The sequence below is a fragment of the Homo sapiens genome, chromosome 5 (genome assembly GCF_000001405.40).
Source record: "Homo sapiens chromosome 5, GRCh38.p14 Primary Assembly".
NCBI classification, from domain to species: Eukaryota; Metazoa; Chordata; class Mammalia; order Primates; family Hominidae; genus Homo; species Homo sapiens.
The window spans coordinates 66,006,179-66,030,661 of NC_000005.10; the positions used below are offsets into that span (position 1 = coordinate 66,006,179).

The following is a 24,483-nucleotide window of genomic DNA, read 5'->3' on the forward strand; positions in this document are numbered from 1 at the left end:
TGATACCAAAACAGAGATAAAGACCAATGGAACAGAACAGAGCCCTCAGAAATAATGCCACATACCTACAACTATCTGATCTTTGACAAACCTGACAAAAACAAGCAATGGGGAAAGAATTCCCTACTTAATAAATGGTGCTGGGAAAACTGGCTAGCCATATGTAGAAAGCTGAAACTGGATCCCTTCCTTACACCTTATACGAAAATTAATTCACGATGGATTAAAGACTTACATGTTAGACCTAAAACCATAAAAACCCTAGAAGAAAACCTAGGCAATACCATTCAGGACATAGGCATGGGCAAGGACTTCATGTCTAAAACACCAAAAGCAATGACAACAAAAGCCAAAATTGACAAATGGGATCTAATTAAACTAAAGAGCTTCTGCACAGCAAAAGAAACCACCATCAGAGTGAACAGGCAACCTACAGAATGGGAGAAAATTTTTGCAATCTACTTATCTGACAAAGGGCTAATATCCAGAATCTACAATGAACTCAAACAAATTTACAAGAAAAAAACAACCCCATCAAAAAGTAGGCAAAGCATATGAACAGACACTTCTCAAAAGAAGACACTTATGCAGCCAAAAAACACATGAAAAAGTGCTCATCATCACTGGCCATCAGAGAAATGCAAATCAAAACCACAATGAGATACCATCTCACACCAGTTAGAATGGCAGTCATTAAAAAGTCAGGAAACAACAGGTGCTGGAGAGGATGTGGAGAAATAGGAACACTTTTACACTGTTGGTGGGACTGTAAACTAGTTCAACCATTGTGGAAGTCAGTGTGGCGATTCCTTAGGGATCTAGAATAGAAATACCATTTGACCCAGCAATCCCATTACTGGGTATATACCCAAAGGATGATAAATCATGCTGCTATTAAGACACATGCACACGTATGTTTATTGTGGCACTCTTCACAATAGCAAAGACTTGGAACCAACGCAAATGTCCAACAATGATAGACTGGATTAAGAAAATGTGGCACATATACACCATGGAATACTGTGCAGCCATAAAAAATGATGAATTCATGTCCTTTGTAGGGACATGGGTGAAGCTGAAAACCATCATTCTCAGAAAACTATCACAGGGACAGGGAACCAAACACTGCATGTTCTCACTCATAGGTGGGAATTGAACAATGAGAACACTTGGGCACAGGGAGGGGAACATCACACACCAGGGCCTGTCGTGGGGTTGGGGGAGCGGGGAGGGGATAGCGTTAGGAGATATACCTATACCTAATGTTAAATGACGAGTTAATGGGTGCAGCACACCTGCATGGCACATGTATACATATGTAACAAACCTGCACGTTGTGCACATGTACCCTAAAACTTAAAGTATAATAAAAAAAAAAAAAAGAATGAGCCCTGGTTGTACCCAACATTTAACAGATCTGGAAGAAGAGAAAATGCAAAAGCTACTGAGAAGGAACACTACTAATGGGGGAGAAGCTAGTCAAATGAAAATGTTTGTTTTCCTTATTGCATTTTAGCTTCTCATGAAAAAGGACTGTGCCTTAAATATCTGTGGTATATAGCATAGTGTCTGATACTAACACATTTGCTGAATAACTTTGAAGATAGGTAATTTCAGCTTGGGATAGGTTGAGTTTGAGGCATGTGAACAAAATCTAATGGGCATTTGAAAATTCTTAGCAGCAGCTAAGGAGGGAGGTGGGAACTGGAGATACAGATTTAGAACCTACAAATGTATGTGGTAGGAACTGAAGTCAGACTAAACACATTGCTAGCAATTTTCAAAAGTAGAAAACCAGTGTTTCAAAACTGTTTGCTTAGGGCAAAATTACTACTATGTGTCTGAAAGCCAGTAGTAATTTAGAATTTGTAATTTCACAGGCATTTGTGGAATACTTTTTATAAACCACATGCTATGGAATAAAGTACTTTATAATATAAAAAGTATGAAGTATTCAGGGCCAGGCACGGTGGCTCACACCTGTAATCCCAACACTGGGAGGCTGAGGTGGGCGGATCACGAGGTCAGGAGATCGAGACCATCCTGGGTGACATGGTGAAACCCCATATATAAAACCCCTAATATAAAAAATTAGCCGGGCGTGGTGGCGGGCGCCTATAGTCCCAGCTACTTAGGAGGCTGAGGCAGGAGAATGGTGTGAATACGGGAGGCGGAGCTTGCAGTGAGCTGAGATCGCGCCACTGCACTCCAGTCTGGGCAACAGTGTGAGACTCCATCGCTAAATAAATAAATAATTATGAAGTATTCTTTTGTATTTGTGGGAGATGATCCAAGCATTAATTTCCACTAAATAATATTAAGCTAATAAATACATTTTTATAGGAATTAAACACAATATTTGTAATTTAAAGCTCTTGAAATTGTTCTCCATATGGTATTTTAGATCAGTAGAACATATTATATAGTCTTAGGTCTTTTTCTCTTTAGATAGACTTTATCATGTACTAAAAATACTATAACTCCTGGAAATAATATCTTTTACTTGGCTATTTCGAAATACTGTATAGATTTTAATAACAACCAATAAAGATGAGATATTTAGCTAAATTTTAAAATGAATTTGAATGCCAGTGAGAACTGTATAGAATGTTTTCTTGCTCCACCCAAACATGGAATGTTTTACTTCTTAAAAAGTATTAAGAATTATGTACCACAACCAAATCCATTCCATGTTTTCAAGGTCGGATCATTACTTGAAAATCAGTGTCATCCACCACATCAGTAGACATATAATTAACTCAGCAATTCCAGTCTTAGGTATTTACCCAAGAGAAATGCAAACATTTCCACAGAATGACTTTAAAAAAATACAAAAATTTTCAGTGCAACTTTTTCACAGTAATTCAAAACTCCCTCTGCTTACTCTGTAACTCCACAACTCCACATTGGCGTCTGAGCATGACATGTACCCTAGAATTCTAGCCCCACTGCCACCAGGCACTGCTACATGTTCTCCCTAGGCTCTGCAGCAGCAGACACTGCCCTTTCATTTGAAAAATATTTAGTCAGTTCAGCAAAGGGATGCTCTTGTAATATATTAGGAGCATCATTTCAATGCATCCTCAATGGAATGATCACTTAAAAACAATTGTTCGTCGAAGAACTGATAAAGATTTCACTCCTAAGGAAAAATTCAATAATGTTAAGTATTTTGTATGTAAATGAATGAGAGAAAAGAAGATGGTAGGTAAGTGAAATTCAGCAAACATTTGTTGTACAAAGGTACAATGTGCTGAATAGTAACATGTACTTAAAGTGGAGAATTGAGTCAATCTAAATAAAACCTAGCAATAATACAAAGAGTACACAGGTACTACAAAGTAAACAATTGTAAAAATGCCATAAAATGCATAATTGAACTCTTTGGAGAGTTAAATTTCATTGAGTTTAGAGATCAGGATAGGCTTTCAGAAGATCCTACTGGTTTTGCTGGGAGGAAGAGCATTCTAAGTAAAAAGAATGTCTTGTAGATCAGTGTTCAGTGTTAATTTGGAGGCTTGGAATAGGATTGCCAAGTTTGTTTTACCAGTAAGAAAATTCCTGTCTCCCATCTTCAAAAGAAACATCTCCCACATTCCTATTTTATCATCTTTTTATTAAAAATGACTTTTTTCCATTCAAAAGGGGAAGAATAAATGATACAAAGCTACTAAATTTTAAAACTTAGATTAAGTGAAAAATAAATTACCAAAATCAATGTAAGAAGTAGAAAACTGAAAAGACCAGGGAATGCAACATTAAAATGAATTAGTAGTCCGAAAAAGTGCCAGTTAAAAATTCTGTGTTTAGCATTTTGAACAACCACCAAACTACTTTCCATAGTGGGTATATCAGTTTGCATTCTTACCAGCAATGTGTATAGTTCCCAATTTCTTGACATCCTCACAAACACTTGTTACTTTCGCGTATTGCATTTATTTGTTAGGTCTCGTGGGTCCTTAGTCTTCCTCTCATTACTTCCTTAGTCTTCCTTTGTCGTTTTTTGACCTTGATAGTTTTGAAAGTTATTGGCCATTTATTTGACAGAATTTTACTTAATTTGGATTCGTTTGGTGCTTACTTATGATTAAATTCAGGTTGTGTGTTTTTGGCAAGTATATGTCCAAAGTGATATGATATTGTTTTTGAGTACATCTCAGATTAGTTGCCACATGATGATGTTAACTGATGATGCCAACTTTCAAGCAATTTTGAAGGTTAAGGTGGTGCTTGTCAGATTTCTCTACTGTGAAGTGAATTTTTCCTTTTTAATTGCCATGTGTCTTGTGGAAATAATCTTTTGAGTCTCTATTAATACCCTGTTTTTCATCATACTTTTACCCACTAGTTTTAGCATGCATTGATGAGTTTTGACTGAAACAGTTACTACTGTGTCATTTCCTATTTGGTGGTTTTGCATCATTCATTTTTCATCACCTGACATTCTATATATGATATTGTGGTAAAGTTGTTTACTTAAAATCATGTAGTGATGAAGTTGAAAGGGTCTGAAATGGTTCTCTAATGACAATCCTGTTAATCATATCATGTTAATGGAGCAATGGATCTTACAAACACAGGCTATATAAAATTCATTTTTGGAATGTCTTAAATGTTTTTTATTAGCATTCCTTTAGTCTAGATTAGAACAGTGCTTTTTAAAGTTGATCTGTGGACCAATGGTAGTCCACAAATTATTTATTACTTTATTTTGGCTGTGATAATTTCAAGGAATGAGTAAATGCTCAGAATCTTTCACTGCAGTTTGATGTTATTCCAGTTGTACAGTATTTTGTAAGTGTATTTGGTCCACAACAGATTGGAAAATTTAAAAACCATAATCCTTTATCTCATTTGGCTGGAAAAGCACTGGTCTAGGATACTCCAAAGCTGAAATGTCTAATAGATCTCTTGAATATATCTATCATAGTATTCAGAAATCACTGCATTTTAAAGCAGTTATCATATTTTTAGCATGACATTGGGTTACGTGAAGGGAAAAGGTTGAGAAAAGGGGAATATAAATATAGTTAGGAAAAACAGGATAGGTGCAGGAAAGAGAAAATGTTTCATTATCTTAGGGTGGACAGTGCTGCCTTCAGGCATATCCACTGGCATATCTGATGTAGACTGTCTTCCTCTTCTATCTGCAGCTTTATTTTCAGCTTTGCTTATGTATATTAGGAACCAGCTCAATCAAGAGCCCAGCATTTAAAAAAACAATCCTTGGCCTGTGGGGTGGCTCAAGCCTGTAATCTCAGCACTTTGGGAGATCGAGGTGGGTGGATCACCTGAGGTCAGGAGTTCGAGACCAGTCTGACCAGCATGGTGAAACCCCGTCTCTACTGAAATACAAAAATTAGCTGGGCATGGTGGCGGGCGCCTGTAATCTCAGCTATTCAGGAGGCTGAGGCAGGAGAATCACTTGAACCCAGGAGGCAGAGGTTGCACTGAGCCTAGTTCGCCCCACTGTACTCCAGCGTGGGCAACAGATCAAGACTCCCTCTTAAAAACAAATAAAAATAATGAAAAACGGTCCTTTTTTTTTAAAGTGAGAGAAACAGAAAGAATGTTAAATGTTCTACAATTTAGGTCCTTAACATCACATGTAGAAGGCACTAATTTTCAGAAGGAAAGAAAGGTAAAAACCAATTTAAGTAATTAGCAGTTATAAAGAGGCAAATAAAAGGAGGAAAGATAAAGAAATTGTTGTGCAGGTCATTGTTTAGTTCACATTGATGTTGTCAGTTCATCTAGTTCCTTGTTAATTGGTATATTACTTTAGAATCTGGAAGGCATATATTATTGTTACTGTTATTATTTTGTCCTTTGTAATAGATCTTTTAATTTGATCGTTGTTTGTTTTCTAGGAATACAGGAGTTTCCAGAAAATATAAAAAATTGTAAAGTTTTGACAATTGTGGAGGCCAGTGTAAACCCTATTTCCAAGTAAGTTCTCAGGTGAATTATAAATTACTTTTGTGAATAAAACAATTATGAAACTAGTAGATATTATTGTACATATTTTAACAAAAATTTTATATCAATCTTAAGTCTATACAAAATTTCAATTTTAGAGTTAAAAAGTAATCTTTTAAATAATCATTCTAACCCCATGTACTACTGAGGTAAATTTGTGATCCCAAAGAGATAGTGAGAGTGTTTTGCTCCAAGTCTCACAGATAGTTAATGTCAGAAATGAGAGTAGAATCCACATTTCCTCACTCTGTGTTATTTACACCCTAGAGGAGTGTCTTTGCCTTCAAATCAGGTGTGTGGTACCTTCAAACTTTTGAAAACAATGAAACCAAAAGTTTCTTCACAGTTTTAACAGAAGGCAAAACAACAGGAAACAGAAACAAAACAATAACAAAAAAAGAAAAAACTATATGATTGGTTGCAGTGTATCAGAAGATTGTGAATGTCCATTTATGATGGTGATGACTGTAAACAAAGTTTTCCTGGCACCAAGGCTGTTAAGTTTTGGAAAAATTGAATGGTGAAGCAAAAGATGACTAGAAAGAAGCATAGCAATCCAGAACCAACATGTAAAGATTATGTATAGCCTCTTCATTTGAAAATATTGCTCTAGTATCAAATTCTAGATCTTTACTTGTTTCATAATCAACAAAAAATAGAAGTAAAGCTAACACACGTAGGTTGTTACATGGCCCTAACGTCATTCAGCTTTAAATGTTTTTTCTTTTCATTTGCTTATTATAAAATCGTATAATCTTAAAATTATTTAGGAGCCAAATATTGAAATTGAAAGTAATCTAAACCAGTGGTTCTCAACTGGGGGCTCTCATGCCCCAGCAGACTTTTGGCAGTTTCTGGATACATTTTTGGTTTTCACAGTGGGGTATTTGTGTGCATGCATGCACACTATTGGCATCTAGTTTGTAGAGATCAGTGTTGTAGCTAAACATCCTATAGTGCACAGGGCAGCCTATGTACAACAAAGAATTATTCAGCCCAAAATTTCTCTGCCAAGGTTTAGAAATTCTTTTCTAGTCCTTTGAATTGAGAGTAGATAAGACAGATTTCAAGAGTGCCTGCTGATTTCAGAGTTATACCCTAAATATATTTTTATGTATTGTGGCTCATTCATAGTTGACTGTTTTGTTCATATTTTACATTATTAAAACAAATATTACCTCATTTTCTGTTTACAAAGTGATGAAGATACATTGAAACAAGTAGGTTATTATAAAAGGCAAATCTTTGAAGGGGCTCTCATAAAAGTAGCCACTCATAACAGAAGCGACTGTTTTCTGTCTGTTGGGAAAATATCTTGTGAGAGTCTTAGATTTTAATAAAAGACTGAATTTCTTACATGAACTTAACTTAAATTCTGGTATTTTATGTAGGCTCCCTGATGGATTTTCTCAGCTGTTAAACCTAACCCAGTTGTATCTGAATGATGCTTTTCTTGAGTTCTTGCCAGCAAATTTTGGCAGGTAAATTATGGTTTCTTCTAAAACGTTTTATTATTAGCTCTTATAAAGTTTACAAAACTATAAGCTGCTTTGGTAGTACTACTCATTACAGTTTCATAGGCTCTTTTTAAATTATTCCCAAGCATTGTGACTTTTATACTTTGTTTGGTGGCTTTGACTTAATTTTTCCAAGTAAACAATAATCAGTGAGAGTTTGAAAGAAAAAAAAAGTTTTCTTAGGTGGCCAAAACAGGGCGTTTCAATGGGGTTAATTTCTGTATGCTTGAGATACTGAATGCTATATTCTTAGCATTCTAAAATGATTTAATAATTGATTTATCTGTCTTCTCCCCTGGAATCAAAATTCTTAAGAAAAGAGAATCTGTTTCTGGGGGCGACCTCATCATCTCCCTGCCACCCTCAAGTCTCTGAGTAATTTTTTAAACAAACAGATGAATGTATAATAGATATGCAGTTATTACTGAGTTTAAATTAACTACTAGAGAAAATGCTAGCCAACTAAATGTTAATTTTGTAGCCATCTTTTATCTAAAAATCATTGATGTACTTGTCAGATTCCTCTTCTGTATCTGGCATTTGCATCACTTAATCTGCTCATTTTCTCTCTAGTTTTAGTGGAATGTACATCAATGAAGTGCCAGAGGATTTCTCCTCCTTCTTTTGTTTCATTATTTCTTCTCAGAGCAGCACTTTAGAGTTGCATTATTGTTCTTGAATCTACCAAGAGTTAATTTTTGTGAGCATTTTTGGTAAAAGGTATGAAATTCTGGAGGATTGATACTTTGGGATATTCACTTTGTCGCTTTGAAAATGTGTGGAAGTGCTAACCCTTTTCCTCTGACCACAATTTTGAGGAGCAAAAATAAGTCTTTTCTTCCTTTGTATTTTATGTTCTGTAATTTTTAATATATTACTTTGCAATTAGTAATTACACAATTACATTGCTTCCTTTAAAACATTAGAATATGAAATTAATTTATTAAATTCATTGTCTTTGTCCTAAATACATGATTTTTTTTTTGTATTGCAGATTAACTAAACTCCAAATATTAGAGCTTAGAGAAAACCAGTTAAAAATGTTGCCTAAGTAAGTAAAGGTGCTATTCTTTAAAAAACTTAATTTATAATTTTTAATGATTAAGTCTTTAAAAATGTAAATTTTTATTACCTAAAATGTGGTGCAAATTATTTGTAAATCCTGACTGTGTGGTCATCATATTTAATTAATGGTGTTAAAATATTAAAATGTATGTGTCTGTTGTTGGTGCTTAACGTGGTACTGTGTTGGTAATGATTTATAGCTGTCTGAAATGCAGTCTTGTGTGTGACATAAAAGTCAAAATAATAAATATGTAAAGCCCACCTCAATACTGAATAGAAATCAGAAATCCCAGGTTCGTCTACTAAAGTTCATACACATAGTGCTCATTAGAAAGATCCATAGGATCTTCATGTGAAGCCTGGTAACGGTAGAACTTGATTGTCTGGCTATGTAGTGTATTGTAAATTAGAAATGCGATGATTGGTTCCCTAATGATAAGCTAACAACAAGAGATGGCAATCCAGGAGCAAAAAAAAAGATTTAATTATAAAAGAAACAGGTCTACAAACTCGAAATTCACTGTAGTCTGTGGCCTTTTATTGACCAAATATCTTAAAACACTGTGAATGCATTGCTATAGTGTTACATTTTAAGGGTTGGCAAACTACAGTCTATGATTAAATCTGGCCCACTGTCAATTTTTGTAAACAAGTTTCGTTGGAACACAGCCACATACATTCATGTACATATTGTCTGTGGCTACTTTTGCTTTACAGTGATAAAGTAGTTGTCACTACTGTATGCATCTGTTGTTGGTGTTAGAGTGGTTATCACTGCTCTATCACTGTAGGCCCTAAAATTTTTTAGGTGTACAGGACCTAAAATATTTACTGTCTGGCCCTTTACAGAAAAAATTTGCCAACTCATGTTGAAATCGCATCATCAAGATTTGCCCACCCAGCCTGGGCAACAAAGCGAGACCCCCATCTCTATAGAAAATTAAAAAATTAGCCGGGCACAGCAGCATGTAACTATAGTCCCAGCTACTCTGGAGGCTGAGGAGTGAGGATCGCTTGAGTCCAAGAGTTTGCACTTGTAGTGTGCAATGATTGTACCACTGCATTCCAGCATAAGAACAGAGTGAGACCCTGGCTCAAAACAAACAAACAAGCAAACTTCTCACCTCTTGAGAAGGAAAACATCTCCAGTTACCCCAGGAGTTGTTCTGTTTACTCAGCTTCTATGACACATTTATATCTGTTACAGTATTTGCTGGATAATGTTAATGTATCTGTTTTTATTATATGTCACTCTCTTCTTCCCTGACCAGCATATAACCTGCATGTATGTGCATGTGTATCTTCCCCTTGGTTTCCCTTGATTATCTGTGAGGACAGAGACTGTGTCTGTTTTTTATTCCAAAAGACAGTGTTTTGAGTAATTGTTCAATGCATGGATGAATGTTTATAGTGATGATTGTGAGTATAAGTTAAAGTCAAATTATCCATATTAAAATTCAAAAAGATATGTATACATTACAGATTTGATACTCTCAGTGATAGTTCCTTAGCTAAAAATGTGACTGGTTTCTAAGATATTTGAATAACAAGATGTAAATTGTTTACTGTGATAGCTAAGCCTATAATTACTATGTGATATCATAGGCAATTAACTGATTTTAACACCTTTTAGAGATTCAAATTAGACTCTCAGTGAATTTGCAAATATTCTTTTCTCCTTTTAAGATATGATTGTAGCCTTTTTAATACGTTTTTATTGAGGTAAAATATGTGTAAAATTTACTGTCTTTACCATTTTTATGTGTACAGTTCAGTGGTAATAAATACATTTATATTCTTTCCCCTTCATTCTTTCCTCCCCACTACCCTCCTCAGCCTCTGCTAATCACCATTCTACTCTTATCTTCATGAGATCTTTTTTTTTTTTTTTTGAGACGGAGTCTCTCTCTGTCGCCCAGGCTTGACTGCAGTGGCATGATCTCGGTTCACTGCACCCTCCGCCCCCCAAGTTAAGGCAATTCTTGTTTCTCAGCCTCCAGAGTGGCTGGGACTATAAGCATGTACCACCACGTCTGGCTAATTTTTTGTATTTTTAGTAGAGACGGGGTTTTGCTGTGTTGGTCAGACTGGTCTCGAACTCCTGGCCTCAAATGACCCGCCCTCCTCGGCTTCCCAGAGTGCTGGGATTACAGGCGTGAGCCACCACACCCGGCTTGGGATCTTTTTTTAGCTCGCACATGTGAATGAGTACATGCAATATTTATCTGTCTCTGCTTGGCTTATTTCACTTAATGTAATGACCTCCTGATCAACCCATGTTACTGCAGGCAGCCTCTTTTATGGCTGAATAATATTCCATTGTGTATATGTACCATACTTTATCCATTCTTCTGTTGACGGTTATTTAAATTGATTCCATATTTTGGCTATTGTGAATAGTGCTGCCATAGACATAGGAGTTCAGATAACCCTTCAGTGTACTGATTTCCTTTCTTTTGTATATATACCCAATAGTGGAATTGCTGGATTATGTGATAGTTCTATTTTTAATTTTTTTTAGGAACTTCTATACTGTTCTCCATAGTGGCTATATTAATTTATATTCCCACCAACAGTGTTCAGAGATTCCTCTTTGTTCCCATCCTTGCTAGTTATTGCCTGTCTTTTTTGATATAAGCCATTTTAACTAGGGCAAGATGATATTTCATTGTAGTTTTCTCTGATTAGTGATGATCATTTTTTCATATGCCTGTTTGTCATTTGCACGTCTTCTTTTGAGAAATGTCTATTCAGATCTCTGGTGCATTTTACAATAGAATTTTTTTTTTTTTTTTTGCTATTGATTTGTTGAAGCTTCTTATATATTCTAATTATTAATTCCTGTCAGATGGATACTTTGCAAATATTTCTCCCATTCTGTGGTTTGTTCATTTTGTTGATTGTTTCCTGTGCAGTTTTTTAGCTTGCTGTAATCCCATTTGTCTATTTTTGTTGCTTTTATTGCCTGTGGTTTTGAGGTCTTACACAAAAAAATCTTTGCCCAAACCAGTATCCTTGATATTTATATTGAGAATTAGCATTCTCCAGTGTTTTCTTCTGGTAGCTTCATAGTTTCAGGTGTTAGATTTAAGTCTTTGTTCCATTGTGGTTTAATTTGTGTGTATGGTGAGAGATAGAGGTCTAGTTTTATTTTTCTGCATATAGTTATCAAGTTTCCCAGCATCAATTATTGAAGAAACTGTCTTTTCCCCATTTTATCTTCTTGGCGCCTTTTTCTAGGATGACTTGGCTGTAAATGCATGGATTTATGTCTGGGTTCTCAATTCCTTTCCATTGGTCTGTGTGCCTATATACCATGCTGTTTTGATTACTATGGCTTTGTAGTACAATTTGAAGTCTAGTAGTGTGATGCCTTCAACTTTGTTCTTTTTGCTTAGCATCACTGTGGTTATTTGGAGTCTTTTGTTGTGGTTCTGTATACATTTTAGGATTTTAAAAATATTTCTGTTAAGAATGTCAGTGTTTTGATAGGGATGACATTGAATCTGTACATTGCTTTGGATAGTATTGTCGTTTTAATTATCCTAATCCATGAGCATGGAGTATCTTTCCATTTTTTTGTGTCCTCTTTAATTTCTTACATCAGAGTTTTATAGTTTTTCTTGTATAGATCTTTCACGTCTTTACATTGATTCTTAGGTATGTTATATGTATATACCTAAGAATAAATTGATATATATAATATAATATATATTATATTATATAATATATATTATATATTATATATTATATTATATAATATATATTATATATTATATAATATATATTATATTATATAATATATATTATATATTATATAATATATATTATATTATATAATATATATTATATAATATATATTATATATACATACACACACACATATAGATTTTTTTTTATTTATTTTTTGTGTGTGTGATGAAGTCTTGCTCTGTCACCCAGGTTGGAGTGCAGTGGCATGATCTTGGCTCACTGCAAGCTCTATCTCCCGGGTCCACGCCATTCTCCTGCCTCAGCCTCCTGAGTAGCTGGGACTACAGGCGCCCGCCACTACTCCTGGCTAATTTTTGTATTTTTAGTAGAGACAGGGTTTCACCATGTTAGCCAGGATGGTCTCGATCTCCTGACCTCATGATGCGCCTGCCTTGGCCTCCCAAAGTGCTGGGATTACAGGCGTGAGCCAGTGCACCTGGCCGGTATGTCATATTTTTTGTAACTACTATAAATGGGAATGCTTTCTTGATTTTTCAGATTGTTTGCTGTTGGCATATGTAAATCCTCCTGATTTTCACATGCTGATTTTATATCCTTCAACTTTACTTAATTCGTTTATCAGTTCTAACAGTTTTTTGGTGAAGTCCTTAGATTTTTCTAGGTATAAGATACATGTTGTCTGTGAACAAGACTAATTTTGACTTCTTATTTTCCAATTTGGATGCTCTTTATTTCTTTCTCTTTCCTAATGGTTTTTGCTTGATTATAACTTTGAGACCTCACAAACAAGAGGATATAGTTTTAAGTATTACAAAGTCATGTGCATTTAGGTTATATGACTATATCAAAGATTAGAGCAATGGAAAGAGCTGTTGTTTTAGATATATAGTTAAGTGAAATTTAATGCTACCTAAAGAATACTGGAGGGCACAGTACTAAGAACACAAAAGATGTTTTACTTTTCCTTTGAGGAGAGGAGAAAGTGAAATGAGTTCAATACAAATGAATTTTAGAAACAGATGGGAGAAAATATGAGGGATATTGTTTATGTTTTCTCCTTGAGAGAGGCAGCTAGATCTTATTCTAGGATGCAGTTTTATTTCTGAGATTTCTAAAGTGTATGAGTATAGCCACAGTTGTCAGTATTAACTATAGAGAGTTGAGGTGGAGACTCTTTTTGACATGACAGTATATTTTCTTTTTTATTACATATCTGTATCACTCACGTTTTCCTAAAATTGTTTTAAAATATAAATTTTCCAGGATATCATCTGTAATTGAATTTTTCCAATGCACACCTTTTCATTTTTGTACCCTTTTCTAAAACTGTTATGCCATTGACATTATGTGCTCAATAGTTACATGTGAATTTTCTGTTATCTTGTCATTATAACAATACTGAAGCAAGAAATGTAAGATTATGTTTTGTTCTTTCAGTCTTCTCTTCCTCCTCACAATCTTCTTCACTTTTTGCAAATCTCCACCTGGTATAGTTATTTGAACATAGGAAATTATAATCATAGCATGTGATTTTATACATCTGGAGAAAGATCGTGGAAGCAACCTTTCGCTTGTTAATGAAGGAAGCTAGAACTTAAAGGTTTTCTGGGGAAAGATATGAGTAAGGAAGCAGAATTATGGTACCTGAGAATAGGCACTTAGTAAATCTAGGTGAAAGCAGTTTTATAAAAATTGGCATTATGAGATGAATTGAAGAGTTGATGACAGAATGGCATATTTAAAATGTAAAGGGAAAATTCGCTTCTAATGTAGACCAATGACAGTTTCATTACAATGATGGTGTTTGTTTTTATATTTTTGACTAAAAAGCTGGAGAAATGTTGCAACTGAGTTTTATTTTACTTATTACTAATTTTTGTTAAAATTCCAGAGAAGATAGAAATAGTCTGTGTTTTTCGTGCCGTAATTTGAAGTGCCTGTGGATTTTAAATGATACTCATTTTCAAAGTATTAACATATTAATGTAATATACTGATATTGTGATTATAACTATATTTTGCTCTCATTTTGTCATATCCTACAAAATCCTTAATACAGAATTTCTTATCTGGGTAACTGGTTACATCTCAATGTATTAAATAATAGGTGTTGTACAAAAATAGCCACTTAAGAGTGTAAATATTTGTTTGAATTAGTTTCAAAGGGTACCTTTGTAAAAGGAGAGAGAAAAGATAGAAGTGCAACATAGTTTATTTCATTACAAACTGGTTTGTACATCTTTCAAGTTCCTGTAATTTCAGAGAAGTGTTGATGTTAAGTTGGAAGTTAAGAATAGTATATTATTGCTTTTATTTAAAATAAATGTCAACTACTAATTTGTGATTCATATAAAACTTTATTTTGAATTGTATTGTATTTAATTTGAACATGTGGGGAGTAATACAACGTACTGTTAGCATTTTGAATATTAATTTTCGGAGTTACAGTTATCTTAAAGTCTTACAAATATATGAGCAGTTTTGAAAAAGAATTTTTGTAATTATGGTAGTAATTATTATACATCTGCCAACATTTATTAGCTGACTTGTACTATATGAAAATTCATTATGTGAAAAAATAGAAACTCATTATTTGTATTCTGGCTTGTGGGTTTAAATTTATTGCAATTGCTTCTTAAAAATAGAAATGAAAAGACCAATGAGAAGGCAAAATAAGATAATAACTGATAATTATTTTATCTAGAAATCTGACTTTTAAAATTTTTTAGAAAATTAATATTTTTATTTTGTCAACATGTGAAAGCCCATAAATAATTACCTATTCCATAAGAATGTTTTAGACTGTTTTGAAAGCTTCCATGTAATTGATATTTTTCTAGTTAATTTTTCATTACTCCATTATGAACAGAACTATGAATAGACTGACCCAGCTGGAAAGACTGGATTTGGGAAGTAACGAATTCACGGAAGTGGTAAGTTCTCATCAGTCTCACTTTCCCTAAGTTCTTATATTTAATGAAGAACAAAATATGAAAATTAATGTATTTCTCTTACAAATTGGATAAAGGTTTACTTTTTTTTCTTAGTTACAAGATATGAAATTTCTTAGCCAGAACTTTCCAGACAGATAGAAAAATTAACCAGACAGATGAACTTCTGACCACAAGTGAGCATAAAATGTAAAATCAATGAGAGGTCCATGGAAGAGATACTAAACAATTTTTAGCATAGGAAGCAGAAAATTTGAGTGATTATAAGTGGGAAACATCAGTCTGGAATGCAGCAGGTAAAAGTAGTTCTGAATCAGAGAGAGCTCCATGGGGTATTGCTTGTTAACTTATTCAGTAATAAGATACTTCTCTATAATGTTACTTAATAGCTAAGGGGAAAATCATTGAGTGAAACAACTGTTATTTTTGAAGTGGTAATGAGAACCTTTTTGTTTGTGCTTTGTATGCCAAGTGCGCTATGAAGCTGACTCTAAAAGGAAAGGAGTAGTGTTTAAGTAGCTTTTGTCTTTAGTGAGTTTTCCAAAAGAACTCAGAAAATAAGCTAGATTTTTTTTTTTTTGAAGAGGAACTCATCCAGCTGAGTATCATTATTAAACTTTTAAATTAGTTTACAAGTTTGTTGTTTAAAAGTGTGGTAGCTCTCAAATGATGGTTTTAAGCCTAGGAATTTCTCAAAACTGCTTGCTATAGTATTGCCCTGTGGGTATTATATTAATATTATAAATTTCAGCTGAGGTTTGAGGAGGAACATGGTACTTTGGAGTACCTCATTCTCTAAAATACATGCTGTGCTTCCCAAATTATTTATCTGTTACGTCCTTTCTCAATATTTGTTCTGTATGAATCCGTTTCCGTATTAACTATTTCAAAAATCTCGTTCATTTTAAGAATCCAACAAGCTTTCAAAATCGTCATTAGTTTTTGTACCATTTTGGTCTTCCAACATTATACACTTTTTAAAACTTACAGTAGAATTTAACAGTAATGCACAAAAGGAAATTTCTTTTAATCCAAGTTACATCTGGGATTCTTATCTATATTTATATGTTAACAGTAAATCTGATTGGCATGCCTTTTATATATGACTGTTAACTATGGTCATTAGATGTGATAGTACTCTGTGCCATCACATGATCATTGATTGCAGATGGCTTTGTGAGGTGATAGAAATAACTTTGAAGAGGGCAGACTTGAAGGGACAATGCCCAGGAGCAAATTTTGCCTGGATATGAAGGTCTGCCACAACACTTGGATTAATTTTGATGTCCTCAACACCATATTATAAAGAATTTTCTACCATGTAATTAGAAGTTTTTACTAGAGGTTTAAATTACAGTATATTTGTATCATGTAGTTATGACTTTGTCTATTTACCTTTCCCTGATTATGGACATTTAGGATGCACGTTGTCTTTTATCTCCTTCTTAATGAATGTCACCAGGGAACATTTGTAATTTTTCTGTTTTCTAAAAGCTGTATCTTCTTACTGATAATGCATGAGTGCATATTTTTATTGTATACTTCTAAGCAGTGAGTCCTATTTTTTATTTCTTTACAAATTATATAAAAACTTGCCCCTGTTGTGTAATCCAAAGCTTAAATGTGTTTTTTGTAATCTACTGCTATGGCATGTCTCTTTGATTTCTCCATTAATAATTTTCTATAATAATTTTACTGTAGTAACTATAATGCAGTAGAAAGGCTTACATCCTGGCTCTTCTTTTTTATTTTTCCTTCTCCCTGCTCCTTTTATTTAATGATTTGAAACTAAAGGTTATTAGAAATTCCCAGGGCTTCTTTTGCCAGATAAAGACATTCATAAAAATTAATTGAATTACTGCTATCCCCTACCCTAATCCCAACAGCCTGAAGTACTTGAGCAACTAAGTGGATTGAAAGAGTTTTGGATGGATGCTAATAGACTGACTTTTATTCCAGGGGTATGTATATGAGATTTTAAATGGCATCACTTATTTCTGGCTCTCCTTTGCAGTTTTGTGAATTGTACCTTTTATAATTACTTTTAATTAATAAAAAAATTGAATTATTCTTTATTAAACAGAAGCAAATTACTTTTTTTCATGAGCACATTCTTGATTATAATCTAAGAATTCTCATAATAAACATTTGTATGTCTCCTTTTAATACTGTTGAGTGTGTCCTTTCCAATGGTATCACTTGAACTTACGTCCCAATTTGCTTTGCCCAAGGAATTGGTAAACTAGGATATTTTTCATGAACTTTCTGAATTTTTTTTTTTTTTTTTTTTGAGACAGAGTCTCGCTCTGTTGCCCAGGCTGGAGTGCAGTGGTGCGATCTCGGCTCACTGCGAGCTCCGCCTCCTGGGTTCACACCATTCTCCTGCCTCAGCCTCCTGAGTAGCTGGGACTACAGGTGACCACCACCATGCCCAGCTAATTTTTTTTTATTTTTTAGTGGAGACGGGATTTCACCGTGTTAGCCAGGATGGTCTCGATCTCCTGACCTCATTATCCGCCTGCCTCGGCCTACCAAAGTGCTGGGATTACAGGCGTGAGCCACCGCGCCCAGCCGAACTTTCTGTTTTAACAACTGACAAATTGTTTACTCCCATAAAAAAAACCACAAGAATCCCCATATATGCTATTTCCTTAGGAGGTAATGGATACCTGAATTCCCAAAGAATATGTCCTTTGTCACTTCTGCTATGCTACAATTAGTAGAACATCTTAGCTATATTACTGAATACATTTCTAATGGCATTTAAAAAACTACCTGGGAGTCTTCTTTCTTGTATTAGCATTTAATTTTGAATTAAAACTTGGTATCAAGTTTATTCCCTAAACTTTTTACAAATTACTAATGTTAATAGAGTCATTAGATTTTCTTTTTTTACTTATAGTTTATTGGTAGTTTGAAACAGCTCACATATTTGGATGTTTCTAAAAATAATATTGAAATGGTTGAAGAAGGAATTTCAACATGTGAAAACCTTCAAGACCTCCTATTATCAAGCAATTCACTTCAGCAGCTTCCTGAGACTATTGGTTTGTATTGCTTTCAAATTCATGTAATTTTTATTAAAATAAATTCGAGACTTCCACATAATCTCAAATTTCACTTGTTATGAGGTAGTTATACTTCGTTACCACAGGAACGGATTTTATTTGAATTTTTCCTGGTGTGATCAGTTGTACAGTTTGCTCCTTTGTTGACATTACTGTTTTTTATTTACTCTAAGGTAATCTCATTTTTATTTCTAATATATTTAAATTCTTTAAAATAAGTTAACTTATGCAAATTTGGCTTAACTGTTAGCTTTTATTGTCATAGCTTTTATTTTGGTAACTTTTTTCAGTCCTGTTTCATTACAGACACTCAGACAAGAAAACAGATCAGTTGAACAGATCATGAGAGATCTATGATTGAGTCTGTGTAGTTGCTTGTTCAATGATATGTCAATGGAATTGAATTATTTTGATGAAAGGACCCAAAACTTCAATCTTGACATCTTTTTGATGTTTTAATTTAAAAACCAAAAATATTTCTCAGTTAAATCACGTAGTGGTTTTAGCTAAAACTACATTTTTGTAAGTTTGTTACGATTCTACTCTTAGTCAACACTTTTTAAACTTAAAAAATATTTTACTGTTTTAGTATTTAGTATATATGGAATAGTTTTTTATATACCTGTTATGAACTACCTTCATACTACCATTTCTTTAGTCTATTAATTTAACAAGTTTGTATTGTCTGTCTTTTCTGTGCCATGACATTGTTTTTAGAAGCAGAGCTACAACAGTGAACAACGAAGACAAAAAAGTTCCTACTATCAGTATATTTTAGTGGGAGTTAATAAACAAATGTACACTATGTTAAATAGTGATGTGGATGAAGATTGAAAGGACAGGATGAGGGAATAGAACATTGGGATTGGGAGTGGTATCTCTTTTAGATACGTTTGTTAGGAAAGTTGTTTCTAATTCTTGTCAGATGTAGTATGTCTCACACTGACTGTTGGTGGACTTGCTTCTATTTTAAGCTGAAAAATTGTATGTTGTTTCTTCCCTCATTAGGTTCGTTGAAGAATATAACAACGCTTAAAATAGATGAAAACCAGTTAATGTATCTGCCAGACTCTATAGGAGGGTAAGTTTTTTGTGAATGTATACACCCTCGAAGATTTTACTTTCAGTTCAGCATGCCATACATATTTTCAGGTATTTGCATAAATGACCTAAAGATTTTGTAAACATTTAAGTAATTAGTATACAGGTTGAGTGTGTTTATGATAGACAAACCTACTTATTGGTGAAGTTTAGCTTTGTGAAATGGTTTCACTAGGTTTTCAAAGTCAAGTTCAAATGTTTATATGTTCTGAAATTTTGGATTATATATAGGAAATCTTTAACAAATAATATATATTTCTTTTTTTAAATTAAAGGTTAATATCAGTAGAAGAACTGGATTGTAGTTTCAATGAAGTTGAAGCTTTGCCTTCATCTATTGGGCAGCTTACTAACTTAAGAACTTTTGCTGCTGATCATAATTACTTACAGCAGTTGCCCCCAGAGGTAATGTATTTTAGATTTGTTTAGATTTTTGTCTTTTCATTTTTTTCTGATTATCTTCATTATAGCTATTTAGTGTGGCTTCATTTATTTTCTTTCTAAAATAGTTTTCAAGTTATTTATTTTCTGAATAATTAGCTATGTTAATTTAGAAGAGGTTCTTAAATGCTTTCTTATGTACATAAAAATTAATTAAAAAGAAAGTCTAGTCATTATTTCTTCTATAAATGTGAAGTATTTTTCATAACTTTCAAAAATGATGTTTTTTATATGTTGATCAACCTGTAGGCCAAATTTTTTGATACTCAGTTTATATTTCTCTTTCAGATTGGAAGCTGGAAAAATATAACTGTGCTGTTTCTCCATTCCAATAAACTTGAGACACTTCCAGAGGAAATGGGTGATATGCAAAAATTAAAAGTCATTAATTTAAGTGATAATAGGTTCGTAATACTATATTCATCAGTTGGTTTATAGGAGACATTGGTTAGATGAAATTAAGTTTCATATGATATATAATAGAATAGCTAGTGCTTGTTGCTCTTTAAATATACATAGTAAGTTCTCAGTGTTATTGATAGGCTCTTGGAAAGTGTGACTTTCAGTGAAACAACATACAATGAAATCACTTCTTTCGTTCATCAGTGTTATAAGAAAATGACATTATTTGAGAACCTGCCATACACAGTTTTGCTAAAAGTTTTGGTTTCCAAGAACCTATCAATAACTTAAATGAGGACTTAACTGTATATATTTTTTTCTTTAAATACAAAGAGTGGTCTTATTTTATCTGATGTTAATTTATCATACGGTGGTTGTTACTGTTCATTTTGGGTTGACTTAGCTATATAGTCTTTATTCTCTTCTTACAGTTACCTTTTATTTCTGAAGTCACATCTTCACCTGAATATTGCTATTTAACAAAACAATTTTGGAATGTATCTAGTCTGTTGCTAATATTTTCCTAGGCAGAGATCTGGTTTCAACAAAGCCAAGGTGCAGAGTAAATTGATCACTAGGGTTGTAAATTGGAACAATGTTTAAGTTAAAAACAGAATGTCCATACTTTTTCGTGAGGTAAACATACTAATGATGATTAAACAGCATTTGTAGAGTGTTTTCACTTTTTGCTTTCATAGTGTCTTGTGAAGTCTTCAAAACAGCTCTATGAAATAGTATAATAGTATTCCCATTTTATGTAGGAGGGTTTTAAGACTCAGATTTAAGGTGACTCACGTAGCTTGTAAGGTAGAGCTTTAATTTAAACTCAATTTTCTGACTAATTATGATATTCTAACTTCTGTTTTATTTAAAAGAACCACTGCTTTCTTAAGTCACGTTTCAGCCTTTAATTCCTACGGCCCACAGTGGGTTGCTGAAAGAAAGGCACGGAAGACTAGTTAGGTATAAGATAGCAAGGCTGAAGTAGATAATTCTCTCTTAAATAAGATATTTTCATTTAGTATTCTAATGAGTATTTATAGTTGACCCTTGTATTTGTGGGTTCTGCAAGTGTGGATTCAAACAACTTCAGATCAGAAATATTTGGAAAAAAATTGTGTCAGTACTGAACGTGTACCAACTTTCCCATTGTTATTCCCTAAACAATACAGTATACCTACTATTTACATAGCATTTATATTTTAATAGGTATTATAAGTACTCTAGAAATGATTTAAAATATATGGGGGGATGTGCATAGGTTATATGCAAATACTATACAATTTTATATAAGGGATTTGAGCATCTGCAGATTTTGGTATCTGAGGGAGATCCTGGGACCAGTCTTCCACAGATACTGAGGAATGACTGTACTTTGTTTTTAATCATTATCATCTTAGGGTAGTCTTCTAGATTATGTAACTGCTGGCTCACAAATAGAGAGCAGTGCAGTTTTTATAGCAAACTATCACTAAGAGTGTTTCCTATAACAGTTTGTTCTCCCTAAGTACAAATAAACCAAAGCAATGTTATGAGACATTCCTTAATGTGTTCTTTTCTCTAAGGCAGGGACAATTAATTTTTCAACAGATTTTTAAGGTTATTCTATTATCCATTTTCTTACCAGGTGAATTGATTCAATTGAAGAATTATATTTTTGAAACTAATTCTTATAAAACTAGATATTTTGTTTTATGTCCTATACGAAGAATTATATTGGACTTTTCTCGATTTTTTTTTCTCCTATTTTCATGTGCAACTATATAGCATTTTTCAGAAAACCTTTAGGTTGAACCCTCATTCATTTTAAATCTTCTCATTTTAAAGTTTAATTTTTGTTTGTATTTTTTTCCTACAGATTAAAGAATTTACCCTTTAGCTTTACAAAGCTACAGCAATTGACAGCTATGTGGCTCTCAGATAATCAGGTGGGCATTCTGATTTTATAAGTTAATGGAGTTCTTATTTGTGTTATATAGTTTTGCACTCCGATTTACATAGGGTCATTTAAGAGCAGCTATACATGTGGTACACATGTAAACATATCTTTTATATAAGAAAAATCTCAAAATATTTAGAAGCAGATACTTTTTATAAAATAGGTGTAGATTTATAAGTAATGAATTATGTTGGACTTGCCTAATTTCTCCTAAATCTGTTAAAATATTGAGCGATTAGGAAATCAGACTCAAACTCTGAATTTAATAGCATTATCTCATACACTTGCCTATTTTATAGTGAGAACACTTAAAGTCTACTCGGCAATTTCAAGACTATAACAGTGTTATTAACTGTAGTCACCATGTTGTACAGTAGAGCTCTTGAACTTATTCCTCCTAACTTAAATTTTGTACCCTTTGACCAATATATCCCAATCCATGTTCCAGCCCACCCCGCCAGCCCCAGAATCCACCATTTTACTCTTAGTTTCTATGAGTTTATCTTTTTTAGATTCCTCATATAAGTGAAGACATGTGAAGTTTATCTTCTTGTTCCTGCTTATTTCACTTAACATAATGTCCTCTAGGTTCATCCATGTTGTTGCAAGTGACAGGATTTCCTTCTTTTTTAAGGCTGAATAGTATTCCATTGTGATTGTATGTGTATTTGTGTACACACACTACATTTTCTTTGTTCATTCATCCATTCATGGGCTCTTAGGCTGATTTGCTATTGTGAATTCTGCTGCAGTGAACATGGGAGTGCAGACATCTCTTCAACATACTGATTTTATTTCTTTTGGATATATATCCAGTAGTGAGATTGCTGGATTATATGATAGTTCCATTTTAAATATTTTGAGGAACCTCCATAATATATTCCCACCAACAGTGTGTAAGGATTCCTTGTAAGTTTTTCTAACAAAATAGAATGTACAATTTACTGATCTTTTGAATTAAAAAATTAATGCTTATTATTTGATGTTGAGCAATATTTTATAATAATTTATTTAAAGCTGTATTTTCCCAGTGTTGGGTACACTGGTCTCATATGATACTCATGAACTCCGCAGCCAAATTTTCTTGGGAAACTATATTATATTCTAATTCTGGATTATATTAACAGCCCTGAGGTGTTAATACAGTAAAGAAACCCGCAAGGATTCTTCATAGTTTTTAACTGGGTACCCTTTTCTGTTCTGTTCTGTTCTGTTCTGTCCTGTCCTGTCCTGTCCTGTCCTGTCTTGTCCTGTCCTTTTCTTTTTTTTGAGACAGAGTCTCGCTCTGCCGCCAGGCTGGAGTGCAGTGACGTGACCTCAGCTCACTGCAACCTCCACCTCCTGGGTTCAAGCGATTCTCTTGCCTCAGCCTCCCGAGTAGCTGGGACTACAGGCATGTGCCGCCACTCCCAGCTAATTTTTTTATTTTTAGTAGAAACAGGGCCAGGATGGTCTCGATCTCTTGACCTCATGATCCGCTTGTGTTGGCCTCCCAAAAGTGCTGGGATTACAGGCGTGAGCCACCACACCCTGCCTTGGGGTCCTGTTTCTTACCTAGCCATTACTAATATCCCAGAAGCCTTAAATTTATGTTAATCCATGGTTATGAATAAGACATTATTTACCTGCTTTGCAAATTTAGAGAGGAAATATTAAAATGATACATTGCCTTTATTAGAGTTTTGTTTTTGTTTTTGTTTTTTGACAGAGTCTTGCTCTGTCACCCAGGCTGGAGTGCAGTGGCATGATCTTGGCTCACTGCAACCTCTGTGCCCCCGGGCTCAAGCAATTCTCCTGCCTCAGCCTCCTGAGTAGCTGGGATTACAGGTGTATGCCACCACGCCCGGCTAATTTTTGTATTTTTTTTAGTAGAGATGGGGTTTCACCATGTTGGCCAGGCTGGTCTGGAACTCCTGACCTCAGGTAATCCGCCTGCTTCGGCCTCCCAAAGTGCTGGGATTACAGGTGTGAGCCACCACGCCCAGCTTTACTGGAGCTTTTTAACACAGGCAATTACCGTATCTGTTATATGTGGAACTGATTTCTCTTAATTGAATAGTATATGTTTAAACGATTTGAAATTTTGCGACTAGATTCAGAAAAATTTGCTGGACCCCATCTTATGCCATTTACTAACTTCACAATGAATGAGACATACCTCCTGGTCTCGAGGAACTCTTAGACTAATTCTATTAGTACAGTAGCACCTTTTTTTTTTTTTTTTTTGCGGCGGGGTCTTACTCTGTCATCTAGGCTGGAATACAGTGGTATAATTAAGACTCACTGGAATCTTCACCTCCTGGGCTC

General features: G+C 34.0%; 1 protein-coding gene across 18 annotated transcripts in view, besides 2 other annotated features; it reads left to right on the plus strand.

The window, feature by feature from the left end:
• The window catches only part of ERBIN (erbb2 interacting protein), a 155,972-nt gene that overhangs the window by 79,604 nt on the left and 51,885 nt on the right, over positions 1 to 24,483 (plus strand). For all 18 annotated transcript variants that reach the window (XM_047417376.1, XM_047417378.1, XM_047417380.1 and 15 more), the window contains 10 exons: positions 5,871 to 5,949; positions 7,371 to 7,460; positions 8,491 to 8,547; positions 15,144 to 15,207; positions 17,112 to 17,186; positions 18,128 to 18,272; positions 19,302 to 19,374; positions 19,670 to 19,799; positions 20,124 to 20,239; positions 22,096 to 22,165. In XM_047417376.1, the coding sequence (XP_047273332.1) occupies positions 5,871 to 5,949; positions 7,371 to 7,460; positions 8,491 to 8,547; positions 15,144 to 15,207; positions 17,112 to 17,186; positions 18,128 to 18,272; positions 19,302 to 19,374; positions 19,670 to 19,799; positions 20,124 to 20,239; positions 22,096 to 22,165 (899 nt within the window). The remainder of the gene's footprint in view (positions 1 to 5,870; positions 5,950 to 7,370; positions 7,461 to 8,490; positions 8,548 to 15,143; positions 15,208 to 17,111; positions 17,187 to 18,127; positions 18,273 to 19,301; positions 19,375 to 19,669; positions 19,800 to 20,123; positions 20,240 to 22,095; positions 22,166 to 24,483) is intronic.
• Positions 4,378 to 4,467: a silencer, noted in NCBI's record as "silent region_16062". NCBI's record gives its function as "represses an Ori minimal core promoter by ATAC-STARR-seq in GM12878 lymphoblastoid cells {active_cell/tissue: GM12878}" and the evidence as "EXISTENCE:reporter gene assay evidence [ECO:0000049][PMID:35858748]".
• Positions 6,366 to 6,435: an enhancer, noted in NCBI's record as "active region_22614". NCBI's record gives its function as "activates an Ori minimal core promoter by ATAC-STARR-seq in GM12878 lymphoblastoid cells {active_cell/tissue: GM12878}" and the evidence as "EXISTENCE:reporter gene assay evidence [ECO:0000049][PMID:35858748]".